The sequence below is a fragment of the Homo sapiens genome, chromosome 12, assembly GCF_000001405.40.
Source record: "Homo sapiens chromosome 12, GRCh38.p14 Primary Assembly".
Lineage (NCBI taxonomy): Eukaryota > Metazoa > Chordata > Mammalia > Primates > Hominidae > Homo > Homo sapiens.
This window is the reverse complement of record NC_000012.12, coordinates 12750422-12770517: the sequence shown is the minus strand read 5'-3', so window position 1 is coordinate 12770517 and position 20096 is coordinate 12750422. Positions and strand designations below refer to the sequence as shown.

At 41.9% G+C, this 20096-nt stretch overlaps 1 protein-coding gene and 1 non-coding gene across 2 annotated transcripts in view; both read right to left on the bottom strand.

Annotated features, from left to right (window-relative positions):
• The window catches only part of APOLD1 (apolipoprotein L domain containing 1), a 65550-nt gene that overhangs the window by 20949 nt on the left and 24505 nt on the right, over positions 1 to 20096 (bottom strand). The gene's annotated exons all lie outside the window — the stretch shown is intronic.
• Positions 5775 to 5869, bottom strand: MIR613 (microRNA 613). Its single transcript, NR_030344.1, has one exon. It is a non-coding gene; the product is annotated as a microRNA 613 (primary transcript).

Sequence of the window (20096 nt, the reverse complement as noted above, 5' to 3'; positions counted from 1 at the left end):
TCCTCAAACAGCGATTTTTTCCTCAGCATGTTTAGTATACTAATAAGCACGTCAAAGACATTTTTCATTTCTATTGCAGTGTTTTTTATCTCTAACATTTTGTTGTTGTTTTTGAGATGAAGTCTCGCTCTGTCACCCAGGCTGTAGTGCAAAGGCACGATTTCGGCTCAGTGCAACCTCTGCCTCCTGGGTTCAAGCGATTCTCTTGCCTCAGCCTCCTGAGTAGCTGGGGTTACAGGCATGTGCCACCATGCCCGGCTAATTTTTGTATTTTTAGTACAGACGAGGTTTCACCATGCTTGTCAGGCTGGTCTTGAACTGACTTCGTGATCTGCCCGCCTCGGCCTCCCAAAGTGCTGGGATTACAGACGTGAGCCACCGCCCCCGGCCTCTCTAACATTTCTTTTGGTTCTTTTTATAGTTTCCATTTCTCTGCTTACATTGCCTACCTGTTCTTGCATGCTGTCTACTTTATCCAGAGCATCTGGTTCTGATGCTTGCTTTGTCTCTTCAAACTATGTTTTTTTGCCTTTTAGTATACTTTGTAATTTTTTCTTGATAGCCAGGCATGATGTTTTGGGCTAAAGAAACTACTGTAAATAGGACTTTAGTAATGTGGTGGCAAGGTGTGGAGGGAAAGGAAGCATTCTACAGTCCGATAATTAGGTCTCAGTCTTTTAGTGAGCCTATGTCTCTGGACTGTGAACTTCACAGGTGCTTCTCAGTCTCCCCCTCTCCTTAGGTGGGACAACATAGCTAGACTAGGCTGGAGTTGGGTATTTCCCTTCCCCCAGATCAGTTAGGCTGTTATAAAACCCCAGCAGGTTAGGCTCCAGTTAAGTAATTTCTCCTGAGGGAAGACCTTGTTCTTAAGAACAGAATGCTCTAGGGCATTTCAAGATGGTTCCTTTTCCTCTCCCCTTGTTGGAAGCATGAGAGGATCGTTTGCAAAATTCACTGTGAGAACCTAGTAGAGCCCCTGGAGGTAAAACTACAAAAGTGTGGGAGCCTCCCAATAAAGTTTTTATCTCACAGACTTGTCCACACCAAGCCTCCAGCAATTTGTCAATTACAGTTCAGGTTTTCCCACTCCAGCACTGATTCCCATGAAGATTTCTGCTCCAGTAATTAAGTTGTGATTATCTGCATTCACCTGTGTTTCCAATTTGGGGTTTACTCTATGACCTCCCATCTCTTATGGATCTAAGAAGAGCTGTTGATTTTTCAGTTTACTCAGCTTTTTACTTGCTAAGATGGAGTGGTGACTTTTTTTTTTTTTTTTTTTTTTTTAGCTGGAGGTCTTGCTCTGTTGCCCAGGCTGTAGTGCAGTGGTATAATCATGGCCCACTGCAGCCTTAATTGCCTAGGCTCAAGTGATCCTTCCACCTCAGCCTCCCAAGTAACTGGGACTACAGGCATGTGCCACCACGACTGGCTAATTTTTGTATAGTTGGTAAAGATGGGGTTTTGCCACGTTGCTCCAGCTGGTCTTGAACTCCTGGGCTCAAGTAATCCTTTTGCCTCAGCCTCCCAAAGTGCTGGGATTGCAGGCATGAGCTACGGTGCCCAGCCAGGAGTAGTGACTTCTGAGCTCCTTACATGCCAGAATGGAAACTAATGTTCCTAATCCACTTTTTTTCCCTGAAAATGTAGCACTTTAAAAGTCATTTCTGCCTTTACTTTCAATGCTAAAAAAAAAAAAGTAAACTACCTTTGAAAAAGGTAGGAGGCATTTTCTATAAGTTAGGCCTCTGCACATAAAGTGAAAACGAGGAGTTTGAGTCCTAAGTCTGTGGTTTGTGTGTGACTTCAAGCAAGTGACTTGACTTATTGAGACTCAATTGCTTTTTTTTTTTTTTAATTTAAGAGATGAGGTCTTGCTGTGTTGCCCAGGCTGGAGTGCAGTGGCGTGATTAGCGCTTACTGCCACCTTGAATTCCTGGTCTCAAGCAATCTTTCCAACTCAACCTCCTGAGTAGCTGGGACTCCACAGGTGCATGACACCTGGTTGGTTTTTTTGTTTTGTTTTGTTTTGTTTTTAATTTTCTGTAGAGATTGGGACTCCCTAGGTTTCCCAGTCTGGTCTCGAACTCCTGGACTCAAATGATCTTCCTGCCTCAGCCTCCCAAAGTGCTGGGATTACAGGCATGAGCCACTGCACTCAGCCTCAATTGCTTTTACAAGGTTTTATTTATTATATTGGAAAGGGAATATGGAAACCCTGTGAGACCTACACAATGTGGTGCAATTATCAGGTATTCTTACCTTTTTTCAAGCCAGTAACTATTTTTTACATCTAGTTATCTGTGACCTTTTCAATTGTTCAATATTTGTACAGTTGTCCCTCAGCATCCATGGGAGTTTGGTTTGAGGACTCCCCACAGATACCAAAATCCACAGAAGTTCAAGATCCTTGTATAAAATTGCATAGTAGGCCGGGCACGGTGGCTTACACCTGTAATCCCAGCACTTTGGGATGCCGAGGCAGGCAGATCCCGAGGTCAGGAGTTCAAGACCAGCCTGACCAATATGGTGAAACCCCCGTCTCTACTAAAAATAAAAAAATTAGCCAGTCATGGTGGCACGTGCCTGTAGTCCCAGCTACTCGGGAGGCTGAGGCAGAAGAATCACTTGAACCCAGGAGGCGGAGGTTTCAGTGAGCCGAGATCACACCACTACACTCCAGCCCGAGTGACAGAGTGAGACTCCGTCAAAAAAAAAAGGCATAGGATTTGCGTATAACCTACTCACCTCCTTTCATGTACTTTAAATCATCTATAAATTACATATAATACCTAATACAATGTAAGTGCTATGTAAATAGTTGTTATACTAGTTTTGTTTTTGTTTTTGTTTTGTTTTGAGACATAGTCTCCCTCTGTAGCCCAGGCTGGAGTGCAGTGGCACGATCTCACTGCAACCTCCGCCTCCCGGGTTCAAGCAATTCTCATGCTTCAGCTTCACGAGTAGCTGAAATTATAGGCGCGGGCCCCCACACCCATCTAATTTTTCTATTTTTAGTAGAGATGGGTTTTGCCCCATTGGCCAGGCTACTTTCAACCTCTTGACCTCAAGTGACCCACCCACCTCGGCCTCCCAAAGTGCTGGGATTACAGGTGTGAGCCACCGCACCTGGCCAATTTTTTAATGTGTATTATTTTTATTATTGTACGGTTGTTTTTAATTTTTCTGAATAACTCCAATCAGTGGTTGGTTTAATTCACAAATGCAGAACTCACAAATACAGAGGGCCAACTCTTATTTATTTTGTGGAGACGGAATCTTGCTCTGTCACCCAAGCTGGAGTGCACTGGCGTGGTCTTGGCACACTGCAACCTCCACCTCCCAAATTCAAGCAATTCTCCTGCCTCAGCCTCCTGAGTAGCTGGGACTATAGGCATGCACCACCACACCCGGCTGATTTTTGTATTTTTAATAGAGATGAGGTTTCACCATATTTGTTAGGCTGGTCTCGAACTCCTGACCTCCGGTGATCCACCCACCTTGGCCTCCCAAACTGCTGAGATTACAGGCATGAGCCACTGCACCCAGCCCAGGGGGCCAACTCTTATTTATTATTCTGATAGTATATGCCAGCTGATTTACCAGCTAATTCTTTTTTTCTGTTTATTTGTTTTGTTTTGTTGTTTTAGTTTGTTTTGTTGTTTTTTGTTTTTGAGACATAGTTTCACTCTGTCACCCAGGTTGGAGTGTGCTCTTGGCTCACTGCAACCTCCACCTCCCGGGTTCAAGCGATTCTCCTGCCTCAGCCTCCTGAGTAATTGGGATTACAGGCACGTGCCACCACACTCAGCTAATTTTTGTATTTTTAGTAGGGTCAGGGTTTCGCCATGTTGGCCAGGCTGGTCTCAAACTCCTGACCTTAGGTGATCCAGGCAGATAACCTCAGCCTCTCAAAGTGCTGAGATTACAGGTGTCAGTCACCCTGTCTGGCCCCAGCTGATTTTATATCAGTGTTTTACTATTGCCTTTTTATGGCTCTCTCAGAAATCTCTTTTTAAATTTTTTAGCTGTGGGGCAATGCAAAAGTGATTTTTAGCTCATCAATCTATAATATTCTTTGTCCTTTGTGCAACTGTAGTAGGCAGCTTGGGAACTTATGGCCCCCACCTTAACCTGACAACATCTCTTTATCTCCATTTAAAATATTCCAGTATCTTGGTACTATATTACATGATCCTGCCCACTGACTATAGCTAATTGGACTAAAGGTAGACATCCAAACCAAATTTGCCAATCAAATTCTTTCAAGATTTTGGAATATGGACCTAAAGAGAGTTGAGGCAGTCTTCTCAATGACTGGAACTGAAATATGGAACTCAGGATCTGTGAAGCAGCCATATTATTCCCATTATATTCCCCCAAGAGCAGAGAAAGTTTGTTTTGTTTACTGGAGAAAATTAAGAGATAAGGTCCTGAGAGGCAAACAGAGAGTCTTAACTTTTATTTCCTGCCATCATTCCATTTTATGAGCCATTCATATATTCCTATTTTTTCAACTCCCCTTTTATTCCTTGAGTGACTTGATTTCTGATCTTTGCAACAGAGGATCCTAACCAACACTAGAGCACAGAAGATCTACTCTTTGACTTTGACATTTTGTTCTTGTTGTTTTTTGGGTGTTTTTGAGACAGCACCTCACTCTGTTGCTCAGACTGGACGACAGTGGTGCACTCGTGGCTCACTGCAGCCTCAACCTACCAGGCTCAAGAGATCCTAATACCTCAGCCTCCTGAGAAGCTGGGACTATAGGTTTGTGCCACCACACCCAGCTAATTTTTGATTTTTTGTAGAGATGGGGTTTCACCATGTTGCCCAGGCTGGTCTTGAATTCCTGGGCTCAAGCAATCCTCCCACCTTGGCCTCCCAAAGTGCTGGGATTACAGGCCTGAGCCACCATGCCCAGCCTACACTTTGGCTTTAATGTTAACAGAATTAACATAGATTTCTAAAAGTGTTTCCTCTCTGCAGTGCCCTTAAGTGAATTAAATGTTTAATAACCATTTAGGGGTTTTCTTACCTTTGTCTTCGCCTTAAGTGTAACAGTGCTTTCTTTTTATGCAAAATATAGTTTATCTTTATTCATTTAATCACAAAAAATGCATAATTCTTATAACAAATTTCTATAATATAAAAATATATTGAGCCGGGTGTGGTGATATGAGACTGTAGTTCCAGCTACTCAGGAGGCTGGGGTGGGAGGATCACTTGACCCCAGGAGTTCGAGTCCAGCCTGGGCAACATAGCAAGACCTCATCTCTAATTTTTAAAATGAAACTTTCATTCCTTCCTCTCTGGTTCCTCTTCACCTTCCATCATGATTGGAGGCTTCCTGAGCCCTTCATCAGAAGCAGATGCTGGTCTTTGCCTCTTATACAGCCTGCAGAACCAGGAAGACTACATTTCCCAGCACTCCCTTGCATAAAACTCCTCTCCCAGTCTCTCAGGCTCCTTCTCTCTTCCTCTACATGGCTGGAAATGAAGGTTCCAAGATGGCAGATGCACAGGATGGGAGAAGCCCTGATCCCTGAATTTGCTGCTTAGAGAAGAGCTGCTCTGGTGAACTCTCAGGCCAGGAACATCAGCATGAATAAGAAACAAATCTTTATTGCATTAAGCCATTGAGAGTTCAGGGTTTATTTGTTAGCCCAGCAGAGTTTATTCTATCCCCATACCATGCTGTGGCCTTCCTTACTCTTCACTGGCATGGAGAATCACATCCACCTGGGGAAGAACACCATGTGAGATGCACATAAAGGTGTATGAGTGGCAAAGAAGGAACATTCCTACTGTATTGTATATAAGACACTACAGGAAGGGTCCCTTCACACTTGGAAACGCACTCACCGAGAAATCAACCAATAAAGCCCACACCTAGTAGAAATAGAAAATATATTATAAAAATTAAAATATAGAAAGTTAGAAATAAATCCTTCTCCATCTGTTTTCACCCTCTAGAGGTAATACTGAGGTTTATAGTTTGCTATGTGTTCTTACATAATGCTGATGTTTATACAACCATGTGCATTTCACATATGTGGTTGTGGTTTTCTTTTACAAAAATAGCATATTATATATTGCTATGCAACTTTTTTTCCACTTAAAAAACATAACATAAACATCATCAGGGAGAATTGGGGAGATATTGGTCAAAGCATATAAAATTTCATTTAGGGGGAATACATTCAACAGATCTTTTGTACAACATGGTAACTATAGTTAATAATGTACTGTAGCCAGACACGGTGGCTCATGCCTGTAATCCCAGCACTTTGGGAGGCCGAGATGGGTGGATCACCTGAGGCCAGGAGTTCAAGACTACCCTGCCCAACATGGCGAAACCCTGTCACTACTAAAAATACAAAAATTAGCCGGACATGGTGGCAGGCACCTGCAATCCCAGCTACTTGGGAGGCTGAGGCATGAGAACTGTTTGAACCCGGGAGGCAGAGGTTGCAGTGAGCCGAGATCACACCACTGCACTCCAGCCTGGGTGACAGAGTGAAACTCCATCTCAATAAATAAATAAATAAATAAATAAAAATAATGTGCTATATATAGTCAGTCCTCTGGATCCTCAGGTTTTCCATCCATGATTCTACCAATCTCATATCAAAAATATTTGGGAAAAAAAACTTAAAAATAATACAAACTTAAAAAGATAGTATAACAACCATTTATATAACACATATTATATAAGGTATTATAGGTAATCTAGAGATGATTTAAAGTATAGACATCCCCCTCATATAAGTGGGGGATTGGTTCCAGGACCCCCTGTAGATACAGAAATGCGAGGATGCTAAAGTCCCATATAAAATGGTATAGCGTTTGCATATAACCTATGTACATCCTCCCTATCCTTTAAATCATCTCCAGATTACTTATAATACCTGATAGAATGCAAATGCTACATAGTTATTATACTTCATTGCTTTTTATTTGTATTATTTTTTATTGTTGTATTGTTTTCCCCCCCCCCACACACAATATTTTCAATTTCTGGTTGGTTGAATCCACAGATGCAGAACCCACAGATAACAAAAGCCAACTATATATTGGAAGATGTGCATAGGTTATACACAAATACTACACTTTTTTTAATAAGGTACTTGAACATTCCCCAAATTTTGGAATTCACAGGGTGTCCCGGAACCAATTTTTCTTGGATATGGGGGGATAATTGTACTTAGGAATTGTTAAGAGGGTAGTTTTTAAATGTTCTCGCCGCATACAAAAAAAAATGTGAGGTAATGAATATGTTAATTAGCTTGATTTAGCCATCTCACAATGCACACATATATCTAAACATCATGCTGTGCACAATGAGTATATACAACTTTTATTGTCAATTAAAAATAATTTTTTTTCTTGAGACAGGGTCTTGCTCTGTCACCCAGACTAGAGTGAAATCATGACTCACTGCAGCCTCTGCTTCTCAGGCTCAAGCAATCCTCCCATCTCAGCCTCTGGAGTAGCTGGGACTACTACACCCGGCTTTTAAAATTTTTCTTTTAGAGACAGGGTCTTACTATGTTGCCCAGGCTGGTCTTCAACTCCTGAGATCAAGAAATCCTCTTGCCTCAGCCTCCCAAAGTGCTGGGGTTACAGGTGTGAGCTACGGCGCCCAGGCTAATTGATTTCAAAACCAAAAATACCCTCAAAACATCATGCTAGTCATTCTCTATCTTCATGGGCCATATTTGTCCTTTCTCTCTGGCCAGTGGACCACTTTACTCAGGCTCCCATGCCAAATGTTTCCGAGTGGGTTCAGCCAATCAAAGGTCACTGCAGAGGTCTCTGCAGCAAAATATCAGAGAATAAAAGGAAAAAAGTCAGGGTAAGGCTGGGCGTGGTGGCTCACACCTGTAATCCCAGTACTTTGGGAGGCTGAGGTGGATGGATCACGAGGTCAGGAGTTCAAGACCAGCCTAGCTAACATGGTGAAACCCCATCTCTACTAAAAATACAAAAATTAGCTGGGTGTGGTGGTGCGCGTCTATAATCCCAGCTCCTCGAGAGGCTGAGGCAGGAGAATTGCTTGAACCTGGGAGGCAGAGGTTGCAGTGAGCCGAGATAGTGCCATTGCATTCTAGCTCTGAGTGGCAGAGCAAGACTCCATCTCGGAAAAAAATAAAAAATAAATTAATTAATTTTAAAAAGTCAGGGTATTCCTTCCTTGTTTCCTACCTGCATCAGCTCTGTCTTTTGCAGTGGCTGTCTCCATCCTTAGCTATAACTCCCTGGGTGGCCCTGCCTCCATGGTTCCAAATTTCACTGGGCTCCTACTGTGCTATGCCCTCTCCTTTGTACCTGAGGCCTTAGGAATGGGCATCACTTTCCACCATTGCTAGTCTCTAGGCACTTCACCATCCCTTCTTTGTTTGCTTGGCACCTAACCTCTGTAAGTAAACTCTTCCTTAAAAATGTCTTCATTTGCAGCCTGGGCAACATAGCAAGATCCCACCTCTACAAAAAGAAATTCAAAAAATTAGCCAGGCATGGTGGTGGTGCACACCTGTAGTCCCAGCTACTTGGGAGGCTGGGTCAATAGGATTGCTTAAACTCAGGAGTTGAAGGTTGCAGTGAGCTATGATCACACCACTGCACTTAGGCCTGGGTGACAGAGCAAGACTCTCTCTCTCTCTCTCTCTCTCTCTCTCTCTATACATATACATATATGTATATGTTCATGTATATATATATGTTCATTCAAACCATTTGGGGGTGAGTTCTGTTCCCTTCCAGCACCCTCTCATATACAGACATTTTTCCAAGGTGATACATGTGGCTGTCACTCATTTTAGGGACAGGTCATGATTTGCTAATTCATTCCTTTGTTGATAGACATTTATCATATTTTCAACTGAATTATATATTAGAAACAATGGTGCAGTGAACATCCTTGTGTGTGAGTATGTGTGTGTGTATATGCTTATGAGTATTTCTGTAGGGAAGACTCCTCAAATTGAAATTGCTTGAACAAAAGGCATACATATTTTGAATTTGATAAATATTTTCTTTCCCTACTGAGTAGAGATTAAACAATTTCCTCTCCCTGGAACACACTTACAACTAATGAACAACAAACAAGCTATAGCCATGATAAATAAAAAAGTAAGGCTTTAGTCAAATAAGCATGTTTAGACCATTAATCCAAAAGAAATCATGGATATTTTTAAACCTAAAAATAAAGTAAGTCTTTATAAAGGAGTTTCTGAATCCTACAGCTATTCAGACAACATAATCCTTCAATCAGCTTTATTTCAAGGAAAGAGAACAATTTCTAACTGTTTGAACTAATCTGACCAGCAAAAGTTCCAGTAGTTCCCAAGTGTATTAGATTAAGCACATGATTAAAAATACAATTCAAAGAACACTCTGATGCTAAATTTTAGTGTATGTTCACATAATATATAACTTCTATTCAGGACGCAGACACCAAGATGTTTGCTATCACATTCTAGGTTTAGGTTATAAGGTTTAACATCTCAAAAGCACGAATATGTTCCAAAGAGGCAAGACACATCTTCAATGAGCATTGTATGTAATAATAAGTTTTAAATGATCTAACTTTCCACCAGTAGGGGAATGGTTAAACTTTGGTATATCCTACTATGTACCAAGTTTTAAAATGTGCTTTACTGACTATTAGAGAGGTAGAGTAACTTTCATATGTTGGGGAAGGGGGTTGCCCTTTCAGATCCTTATATGTAAATGATCTATTCATATATTTTGCACATATTTCTATTGATTTGCCTTTTTTCTTATCCACATATAGAAGGTTTACTGTGGTATGGACATAAGGGTTTTGTTTGTTTGGTTGTTTGGTTGTTGGTTGTTTTTTTTTTTTTTTTGAGACAGAGTTTCGCTTTTGTCACCCAGGCTGGAGTGCAATGGCACTATCTCGGCTCACTGCAACCTCTGCCTCCCAGTTTCAAGTGATTCTCCTGCCTCAGCCTCCCAAGTAGCTGGGATTATAGGCGCCCAGAACCACGCCCGGCTAATTTTTTGTATTTTTAGTAAAGACGGGGTTTTGACATGTTGGGCAGGCTGGTCTCGAACTCCTGCCCTCAGGTGATCTGCCCACTTCGGCCTCCCAAACTGCTGGGATTACAGGCGTGAGCCACTGCACCCGGCCAAGGTTTTTGTTTGTTTGTTTGTTTGTTGTGAGACCGGGTCTCACTGTGTCACCCAGGCTGGAGTACAGTGGCACGATCATGGCTCACTGCAGCCTCTGCCTCCCAGGCTCAAGTGATCCTCCCATCTCAGCCTCCTGAGTAACTGGGACTGTGGGTGTGGTGGTTAATTTTTGTATCATTTGTAAAGAGGGGGTTTCGTCATGTTGCCCAGGCTGGTCTCGAACTCCTAGGCTCAAGTGATCCGCCTGCCTTGGCTTCCAAAAGTGCTGGGATGACAGGCATGAGCTGGACACAAGTTTTTTGTTATGTATATAACATGTCTACTTCTATTCAGTTGCTTGTCTTAATTTTTTTCATGGTGTTGTATAGTTCCGACATCATGTAATCAAATTATCAATCTATCAATATGGCTTTTTGCCTTTCTGCCTCTTCTAATAATCATAGACTCTTCTAGGGTTTTAATTTCACTTCTATTAATATTTGCCAATGGTAAGAAGTAGAAATTTAGCATCTTCCTCCAAATGGAAGGCCAATTATCCTAATGTCTTTCCTAGAAGTCCCAGTGAATGTCTTCTCATCTCCCGTTGGCTCTGGCCATGCCCATTTATAAACTAGTCACTCCCAACAGGGTAACTGGATATACTGACGTCAAGGCAGCCCGAGCTGCAGACGGGGTCAGTCCCTTCAACACACTTCAATAAGGCTAAATGAATGAAGAGTAATATCTCAAATAAATTTTGTGAAACTGTCCTTGTAGGAAGTGCGATAAATGCCGGCAGCAGCAACAACAACAACAACAAAAACAGATATCTATTGCATAACCTTATGAATTATCCCATTCCTTATTTCCATCAACATATTTGTCTATTCCTAAGTCAATATCACATCCTACCAAAAGTCAGTGATATACTTTATAGCATCTTGTCATACAAGATAGCAAGGAAGCTAACAAAGACAACTACAGTTCTGCCAAGGGGACACAAGAGGCAATTTTGGCCAAGATGGGACAACTTGAGCTTCATTAAGGATAATAATTACGATAGAATGAAACCCTTCAAAGATATTTAAATCCATGTGTTCATAATGGTTTAAAAAAAACAACTATAGCAGCTCCCCTTTCTCTATGGTTTCCCTTTTCGTTGTTTCAGTTACATTCGGTCAACCACAGTCTGAAAATATTAAATGGACAATTCCAGAAATAAACAATTCATAAGTTTTAAATTGCATGCCATTTGAGTAGCGTGATGAAATCTCGTGCCATCCTGCTCCCTCCCGCACAGGATGTGAGTCCTCCTTTTGTCCAGCTGAACCACACTGTAGGCGCTCCCTGCCCATTAGTCACTTAGTAACCTTCTTGGTTATCAGATTGGCTGTGACGATATCACAGTGCTTGTATTCAAGTCACCCTATTTTACTTCCTAATGGCCCCAAAGTACAAGAATAGTGACTCTGGCAATTCATATATGCCAAAGAGAAGCTGTAAAGTGTTCCCTTTAAATGAAAAGGTGAAGGTTCTCAATAAGGAAAGAAAAGAAATCATATGCCGAGATTGCTAAGATCTGTGGTTAAGAATGACTCTATCGGTGACACTGTGAAGAAGGAAAAAGAAATCATGCTAGTTTTGCTGTTGCATCTCAAACTGCAAAAGTTAAGGCCACAATACGTAAGTGCTTAGTTGAAGTGGAAAAGGCATCACATTTACGGATGGATAAATTGAATGTTTCTGTTCATTCAATAGGAAAGGCAGGAAAAATGCTGGCTCTGTCCCTTTGTTTACCGAGTTTTTGTTTTGATTTGTTTTGTTTTGCTTCTGAGACAGTCTTGCTCTGTTGCTGAGGCTGGAGTGCAGTGGTGCAATCTTGGCTCACTGCAACCTCCGCCTCCCAGGTTCAAGCGATTCTCTTGCCTCAGACTCCTTAATAGCCGGGATTACAGGCATGCACCACCAGGCCCAGGTAATTTTTGTATTTTTAGTACGGACAAGGTTTCACCATGTTGACCAGGCTGGTCTCGAACTCCTGACCTCGTGATCCACCTGCCTCGGGCTCCCAAAGTGCTGGGATTACAGGCATGAGCCACTGCACCCGGCACTTTACCAGTTTTTAAGATAATTGAATTAGTTCAGGCGTGGTGGTTCACACCTGTAATCCCAGCACTTTGGGAGGCCAAGGTGGGCAGATCACGAGGTCAGGAGATGGAGAACATCCTGGCTAACACAGTGAAACCCCGTCTCTACTAAAATTAAAAAAAAAAAGAAAAAAAGCCAGGCATCACGGTGGTGGGTGCCTGTAGTCCCAGCTACTTGGGAGGCTGAGGCAGGAGAATCACTTGAACCCGGGAGGCAGAGGTTGCAGTGAGCCAAGATCGCACCTGGCGACAGAGCAAGACTCTGTCTCAAAAAAAAAAAAAAAAAAAAAGATATTGAATTAGTTGCTTTAGTTGCTTTCCATCCTTCAAAAGTGACCAGTTACAGCAGTTCCCCCTTATCTATGAGGCATATGTTCCAAGACCTTCAGTGGGTGCCTGAAACTACAGATACCAGTGGATACAAGGAAATGCTATAAAACTCAGGAGGGTGTTGCACAACTCTGTAAATAAGCCAAAAGCCATTGAATTGTACCCCTTAAATAAGTGAATTGTATGTTACGTGAATTACCTCTCAATAAAATGATTTTTTTTTTAAAGAAAAAAAAGGCAAGAAAGCGGTTACTTTTGGGAGATGGAAGAGGGTTGAAATTGGATGGGACACATAGAGGGGCTTTCGGGGGTGGCTGACAACGTTCTAGTTCTTGATCTGATTGGCAGTCACAAAGATGTTCTCTTTACAATAATTTATCTCATAGTTTTATGAATCTGTGTTTTATGTTTCAGTTTAAAAAGTTAAGTAAAATGAGTTATTACTTTTTAAAGCATGGGCTGGACTGGTTCTTCAATGTGCCTCTCTGAGCCCTGAGCCTGCTGTCCCAGCTGTCATGCGGGGTTAGCTGAACATTGTGGAATGAGATGGGTGGTCTGTTGTGGTTCAGTGGGCCGATACCCCCAGAGGCAGGTCTGTGGTGAACTTGGGCTCACCAAAAGCATTGTGACTGCCTCAGAACTGAGCTTCAGGCTTCTCCTGGAGACACCTGCAAGATCATGGCCTGAAAACATGAGCCTGAGTCCAATCTCTTCAAATCTCTTTGGAGATGATGGTAAGGGCAAGAGTTATTGGATATTTTTTATAGTTCTTGTTTTGGAGAAGTTTTTCTTCAGTTAAAAAGCAGCTGTAGGCCAGGCACAGTGGCTCACACCTGTAATCCTAGCACTTTGGGAGGCTGAGGCGGGTGGATCACCTAAGGTCAGGAGTTTGAGACTAGCCTGGCCAAAATGGCAAAACCCTGTCTCTACTAAAAATACAAAAATTAGCTGGCCCTGGTGGTGGGCGCCTGTAATCCCAGCTACTCTGGAGACAGAGGCAGGAGAATCACTTGAACCCGGTAGGTGGAGGTTGCAGTGAGCCGAGATCGTGCCATTGCACTCCAGCCTGGGCAATAGAGCAAGACTCTATCTCAAAAAAAAAGAAAAAAAGCAGCTATAGAAAGGAAAAATATTATATGGTTCCACTTATATTAGGTACCTAGACTAGACAACTTTATAGAGACAGAAAGTAGAATAGAGGTTTCCAGGGGACAGGGGAGAAGAGAATAGGAACCTAGTGTTTAATGGGTACAAGCTTCTGTTTGGGATTTTTTAAAAGTTCTAGAAATGGATAGTGGTGATGGTTGCACAACAATGAGAAATTGCTTAAAAGTGGTTAAAACAGTAAAATAATAAATTTATGTTATGTTTACCACAATTTTTTAAAATACAAAAAATCCATAGAGGAAGGAAAGGGAATTCACTATACAATTTACCAAACTGAAAGAAAATGCAAAAATTCTTGAAAAGATTAACCAAATTAAAAGAGATTAAGATGGCCTAGAATTATCCTTAAAAGGTGCCAGCGTTCATAAAGAGGCATGCGGAGCAGCAGATCTGAAGGCTGCTGATGAAAACCCAAACGGGTCTAATTCTGTACTCTACAGTAAAGCAGCTATTCTCGAAAAAGAACTCAAAGAGAAATCTGGAAAAATCGATTGCTGGCATTAACAGAAGGTTAAAAACACAACAACATAAACCAAAATCCATGCAGTCACGTGGGCTTTTTCATCTAACAGAGGATTCTTCAATATGATTCTTCACCCACGGGTCTGCCTTCATCTGACAGTGGATCTTTTCACTTCTCTCCACTCAGAGTCTCCCAGTTGCTACCAGACTTCATTCTTCTGACTTGGATTAGTCAGGGTTCTCCAGAGAAACAGAACTAATAGGATATAGACTTATATAGAGAGAGAAAGGTTTAGTTTAAGGAATTGGCTGACACAATTGTGCCAGGAGCAAGTCTGAAATGTCTAGAGCAGGCTGGCAGGCTAGAAACTCAGGGAAGGATTGACGTTGCAGTTTTTTAGGTTTTATGTTTTTTGTTTGTTTATTTTGAGACAGAGTCTCACTCTTTTGCCCTGGTTAGAGCGCAGTGGCGCAATTTCGGCTCACTGCAACCTCCACCTCTTGGCCTCAAGTGATCCTCCCATCTCAGCCTCTGGAGTAGCTGAGACACAGGCATGTGCCACCACGTCCAGCTAATTTTTTGTATTTTTGGTAGAGATGAAGTTTCTCCATGTTGTCCAGGCTGGTCCTGAACTCCTGAGCTTAAGCAATCCACCTGCCTTGGCCTTGGAAAGTGCTGGGATTACAAGGGTGAGCCACCACGCCCAGCTGATGTTGCAGTTTGGAGTTCTTCATATAATCTGGATACTAATTATTGTGGGTTATATTTGTTACCAATATCTTCTTTCAGATTGTAACTTCTCACTTTTTATGATGCCTTTTAATAAGCAGACATTTTTTCATCTTAATATAACTGAAATTATCAATCTTTTCCTTTACGGTTTGGGTATAGGGCTTCCTTTTGCCCTACGCAAGACCATAAAAATATTATCCTTTTTTTTTGCTAAAAATTGCTGTTCATTTTGAATCCTTCTGTGAAATTTGTTTTTGTTATATGAAGTGAGCTAGGGATCTCATTATATATAACGAATTGTCCCAGCACTACTGATAGACTAATGTATCTTTTTCCTACAGGTATGGAGTGTTGATTTTATACAAATAAAGTTTTCATATATGAGTGAGTCTGTTTCTGAGCTCCCTATTCTGTTCCAAATGTCTAATTATCTATTCTTGCACTTATATCACACTGTTTTAATAACAATAACTTCATTTTTTGTTTTTTTGAGAGAGGGCCTCACTCTGTCGCCCAGACTGGAGTGCAGTGGCTGATCATGGCTCACTGCAGCCTTGAACTCCTGGGCTCAAACGATCCTCCCACCTCAGCCTCCCGAGTAGCTAGGACCACAGGTGTGTGCCACCATGCTTGGCTAATTTTTTTTTTTTTTTTTTTTTGAGAGACAAAGGTCTCACTATGTTTCCCAGGCTGGTCTCAAACTGCTGGCCTCAAGCGATGTTCCCTCCTCAGCCTCTCAAAGTCCTGGGATTACAGGTGTGAGCCACCATGTCCAGCCAATAACTTCATATTAAAGATAGATTTCGGCCAGGCATGGTGACTCACGCCTGTAATCCCAGCACTTTGGGGTGCTCAGGTGGGCAGATCACTGGAGGTCAGGAGTTCAAGACCAGCCTGGACAACATGGTAAAACCCCGTCTCTACTAAAAATACAAAAATTAGCCAGGTAGTCACAGCTACTTGGAGGCTGTGGCAGGAGAATCGCTTCAGCCCAGGAGGCAGAGGTTGCAGTGAGCCGAGATTGTGCCACTGCACTCCAGCCTGGGTGACAGAGCAAGACTCCGTCTCTAAATAAATAAATAAAAATAAAGGTAGATGTCTGGTAGGAAAGGCCCTTCTCTTTTTATTATATTTGATTGGGTCTAACAGAATCCTAAATTAAAAGTTATTGTTGGCCAGGTGTGGTGGCTCATGTTTGTAATCCCAGTGCTTTGGGAGGCTGGGACAATCCCACCACTTTGGGAGGCTGAGTTACTGTCTCTCAAAACTACAAACATTTCATTGCTTCATTGCACTGATGTTTTTTTCTTTTTTTCTTTTTCCTTTTTTTTTTGAGACAGAGTCTCACTCTGTCGCCCATGCTGGAGTGCAGTGGCACAATCTCGGCTCACTGCAGCCTCCACCTCTTGGGTTCGAGTGAGCCTCCTGCCTCAGCCTCCCAAGTAGCTGGGATTACAGGCGCCCAGTTAATTTTTGTATTTTTAGTACAGACAAAGTTTCACCATGTTGGCCAGGCTGGTCTCAAACTCCTGACCTCAGGTGATCCGCCCACCTCAGCCTTCCAAAGCGCTGGGATTACAGGCATGAGCCACCACACCTGACTCACACTGATATTTTTTAATACAATATCACTGATAAGAAGTCTGATTTCAATTTGATTCTCCTTCCTTCTGGTTTTTTCCTCTGGAAGATTTTAAGGCTTTTCTCTTTATCTTTTCTATTCACAAATTTCGTGCTATTTGTAGGGACTTTGTAGTTTCTTTCCATCTCAGAAACTAAGCCTGAGATTAAATAATTCTTCGAATTATTTAAATGCACTGCCTCTCTTCCCTACTCATATTTCTTTCTTTCTGGAACTTTTTTGAGGCAGGGTTTCACTCTGTGGCCCTGGCTGGAGTGCAGTGGTGTGATCCACAGCTCACTGCTACCACCTCGACCTCCTGGGCTCAAACGATCCTCCCACCTCAGCCTCTGGAGTAGCTGGGATTACAGGCACACACCACCATGCCTGGCTAAATTTTTTTTATTATTTTTTTGTAGTGACGTAGTCTCGCCATGTTGCCCAGGCTGGTCTCAAACTCCTAGCCTCAAGCTATCCTTCCTTGGCCTCCCAAAGTTTTGGGATTACGGGCATGAGCCATCACACCCAACCCCCTTCTATTAAATTATTTCAACAATCATTCAAATTTCCACAATATCTAATTTATTCTTATACATATGTATATTACCCTTTCACATTTCTTTAATGATACAAGTCATACTTATTGAAAAGACCTAATCTTCTTGCTGTGTTAATTCATTTTCTCAGATGGAAGTTTTATCGTCTATTGAGTTTCTTGTCTCTCTTTCATGTTAGCCTTCTTTAAAGTTCATCCATTCTTGATTTGTCACTCATCTTTACAGAGGCAATGTCCTTTTAGATGTATGTCACATCTATTTTTTTAGCCTATTGTGAGGGAGGATGGGATGTAGCACTGGTCATACCTTGGTGGCTAGTGTTCCAACGTGAGTGCACCCCCCTCCTCCCAGGTATTGCCAGACACTGGGGGTTGGGCACTGCCTTATCTTATCATCACCCTCCTACCCATTTTTCTTGAGTGGAGATAGATACCACTCATCACTATTACCTGGCTAAACAGATAGAGAAGGGATAGCAAGCAGCAATTGAACCATCTAGATAGTCCTACTGTGGTACCTGAATTAGTCAATCTATTAGTTACCTTTGAACTTCCTGTCACTGCTATCCACCACTTTGGGGCAAGGAGTATTCTTAGTGTCCGCTATATTTTGCAGCAATAGTCTACTGTTCTAGTTTTAACTGTGGCTTACCTCCTTCACCTGATCCTATGTCATTTAGGGATTTGTCATAGTTTCTGGTTCCTGGAAATTTCTTGTTTCCAATGCAGTTGTGATTTTTTTTTTAAATTTTCTCCACTACTTATAGAAATTGGGAGCTACAAGAGATTGTATCATTTTTGTTCAATCCATTATCCTCAAAGTCACCATTTTGTCATGCCTGAGTGATGAGCAAAGAGATAAGTCCAAGAAGTGGTCTGTGGAGGTCAAAATATCACTGTATTCTGATTAAAACTACAGGAGAATATAGCTTAACATGAAAGCCAAATGCTAATACTGAACCACAGTTACATGAACTTAATTAGCCACCCAGGTCCAGCAGCACTGAGTGGGGCACATCTCATCATATGGGTAGCATCCTACCCTGCAAGAAGTAGAACTTGTGCTTTCTTGGGCTTGACTGGCTCCCAAAGAACAAAGAGAAGGAGACTAAGCCAATCATGTTCAGTTTATTATTCTAGAATTTACCAGTCAGATTAAATTACCCTGTCCAAAAACACAGGAGATAAAATCAAGTTCCTTCTTATAGAAGGTCTCTTCTTTCCACTGTAAAAAATTACCACAAATATAGATGCTTAGAAAACAAATTTATTCTCAATAGCTCTTGAGGTCAGAAATCCAAAATCCATTTCATTAGGGGTAAAGTCAAGGTGTCAGAGGGACTGGTTCCTTCTGAAGCCTCTGAGGGGAGAATGTTTTCTTGCCTTTTCAGTTTCTACTGGACTGTATTCCTTGACTTACGGCTTCTTCCTCCATCTCCAAAGCTCATCATTCCAATCTGCTTCTGCCGTCACATCACTTTATTTTACTGACTCTTCCTCTGTCCTTCTTATAGAGATCAATGGATTATATTGGACACACAAGGTAACCTCTCTTATCTCAAGATCCTCAACTTAATCACATCTGCAAAGTTCCTTTTGCCATATAACATACTCACAGATTCTGAGAATTAGGATGTGAACATACTTGGGGGCCCATTATTCAGCCTATCACAGAAGGTAATATCGAGGTTGCCTAAGAGTCACTCCTGGGTGGGCGTGCTGGCTCACGCCTATAGTCCTAGCACTTTGGTAGGCCAAGGTGGGTGGATCATTCGAGGCCAGGAGTTTCAGACCAGCCTGGGTAACATAGCAATGCCTTGTCTCTTCTGAAAATTTAAAAATTAGTGGGGCATGGTTGAACGCCCCTGTAGTCCCAGCTATTTGGGAGGCTAAGGCAAGAGGATCCCTTGAGCTCGGGAGGTAGAAGTTGTAGTGAGCCACATTTACACCACTGCACTCTAGCTTGGGTTAACAGAGCAAGACTCTGTCTCAAAACAAAAAAGAATCATTTCCCACTAATATTCTCTCGATGTTTTTTCTCTTAAGACATTGGTTTAACCATTCAGCCTATGCCAGCCAGAGGTGTGGCTGACATCCTCCAGACAGCATCTTGACAGCCTGTGAGGACCATCCTTGCCCCACCTTCATGACGTTACCCTTCCCTCTCATACCACCCTACTTTGTACCTTTCCAGGAACCCTGGTAGGCAATGGCGATTTTGCTCACATAAGGTTCCAAAATAGTTCACTATAACACATTAATATTTCAGGGGCCAGGCGTGGTGGCTCACACCTGTGATCCTGACAATTTGGGAGGCTAAGGCAAGTGGATTGCTTGAGCCCAGGAGTTCAACAACAGCTGGGGCAACATGGTGAAATCCCATCTCTACCAAAAGACAACCAAAAAAAAAAAAAAAATTAGCCAGGTGCAGTAGCCCATGCCTATAGTCCCAGCTACTTGCGAGGCTGAGGTGGGAGGATCGCTTCAGCCCAGGAGGTCAAGGCTGCAGTGAACTGTGATCACGCCATTGCACTCCAGCCTGGGTGACAGAGTAAGACCCTGTCTCAAAACAAACAAAAAAAAAAGGTTCAGTGACATTCTGTATCCAAGGCTTAACTCCATTTTTCTATTACTAATTTTTATTATGTTTATCCATACTGTCCACATATCAGAGGATCAACAATGAGATTACATGACAAAAGTATACTACACTCCAATAATATGCGCAAAAAAAACTCAATAAGAAAATACCAATAATATTGAGAAAAAATATACTTTAACATAAATCTCCTCCCTTTATCAAGTTTCTAGGGAGAAATTAATGTCCAAGAAATGAAATCCATCTCCTTATAAGTCAAAATCATGAGACATTAAAGATAAAAGAAAGTGAAGTTCAAAATAAAATTATCTTACATGTGTGGGTTAAAATTCAAAGAA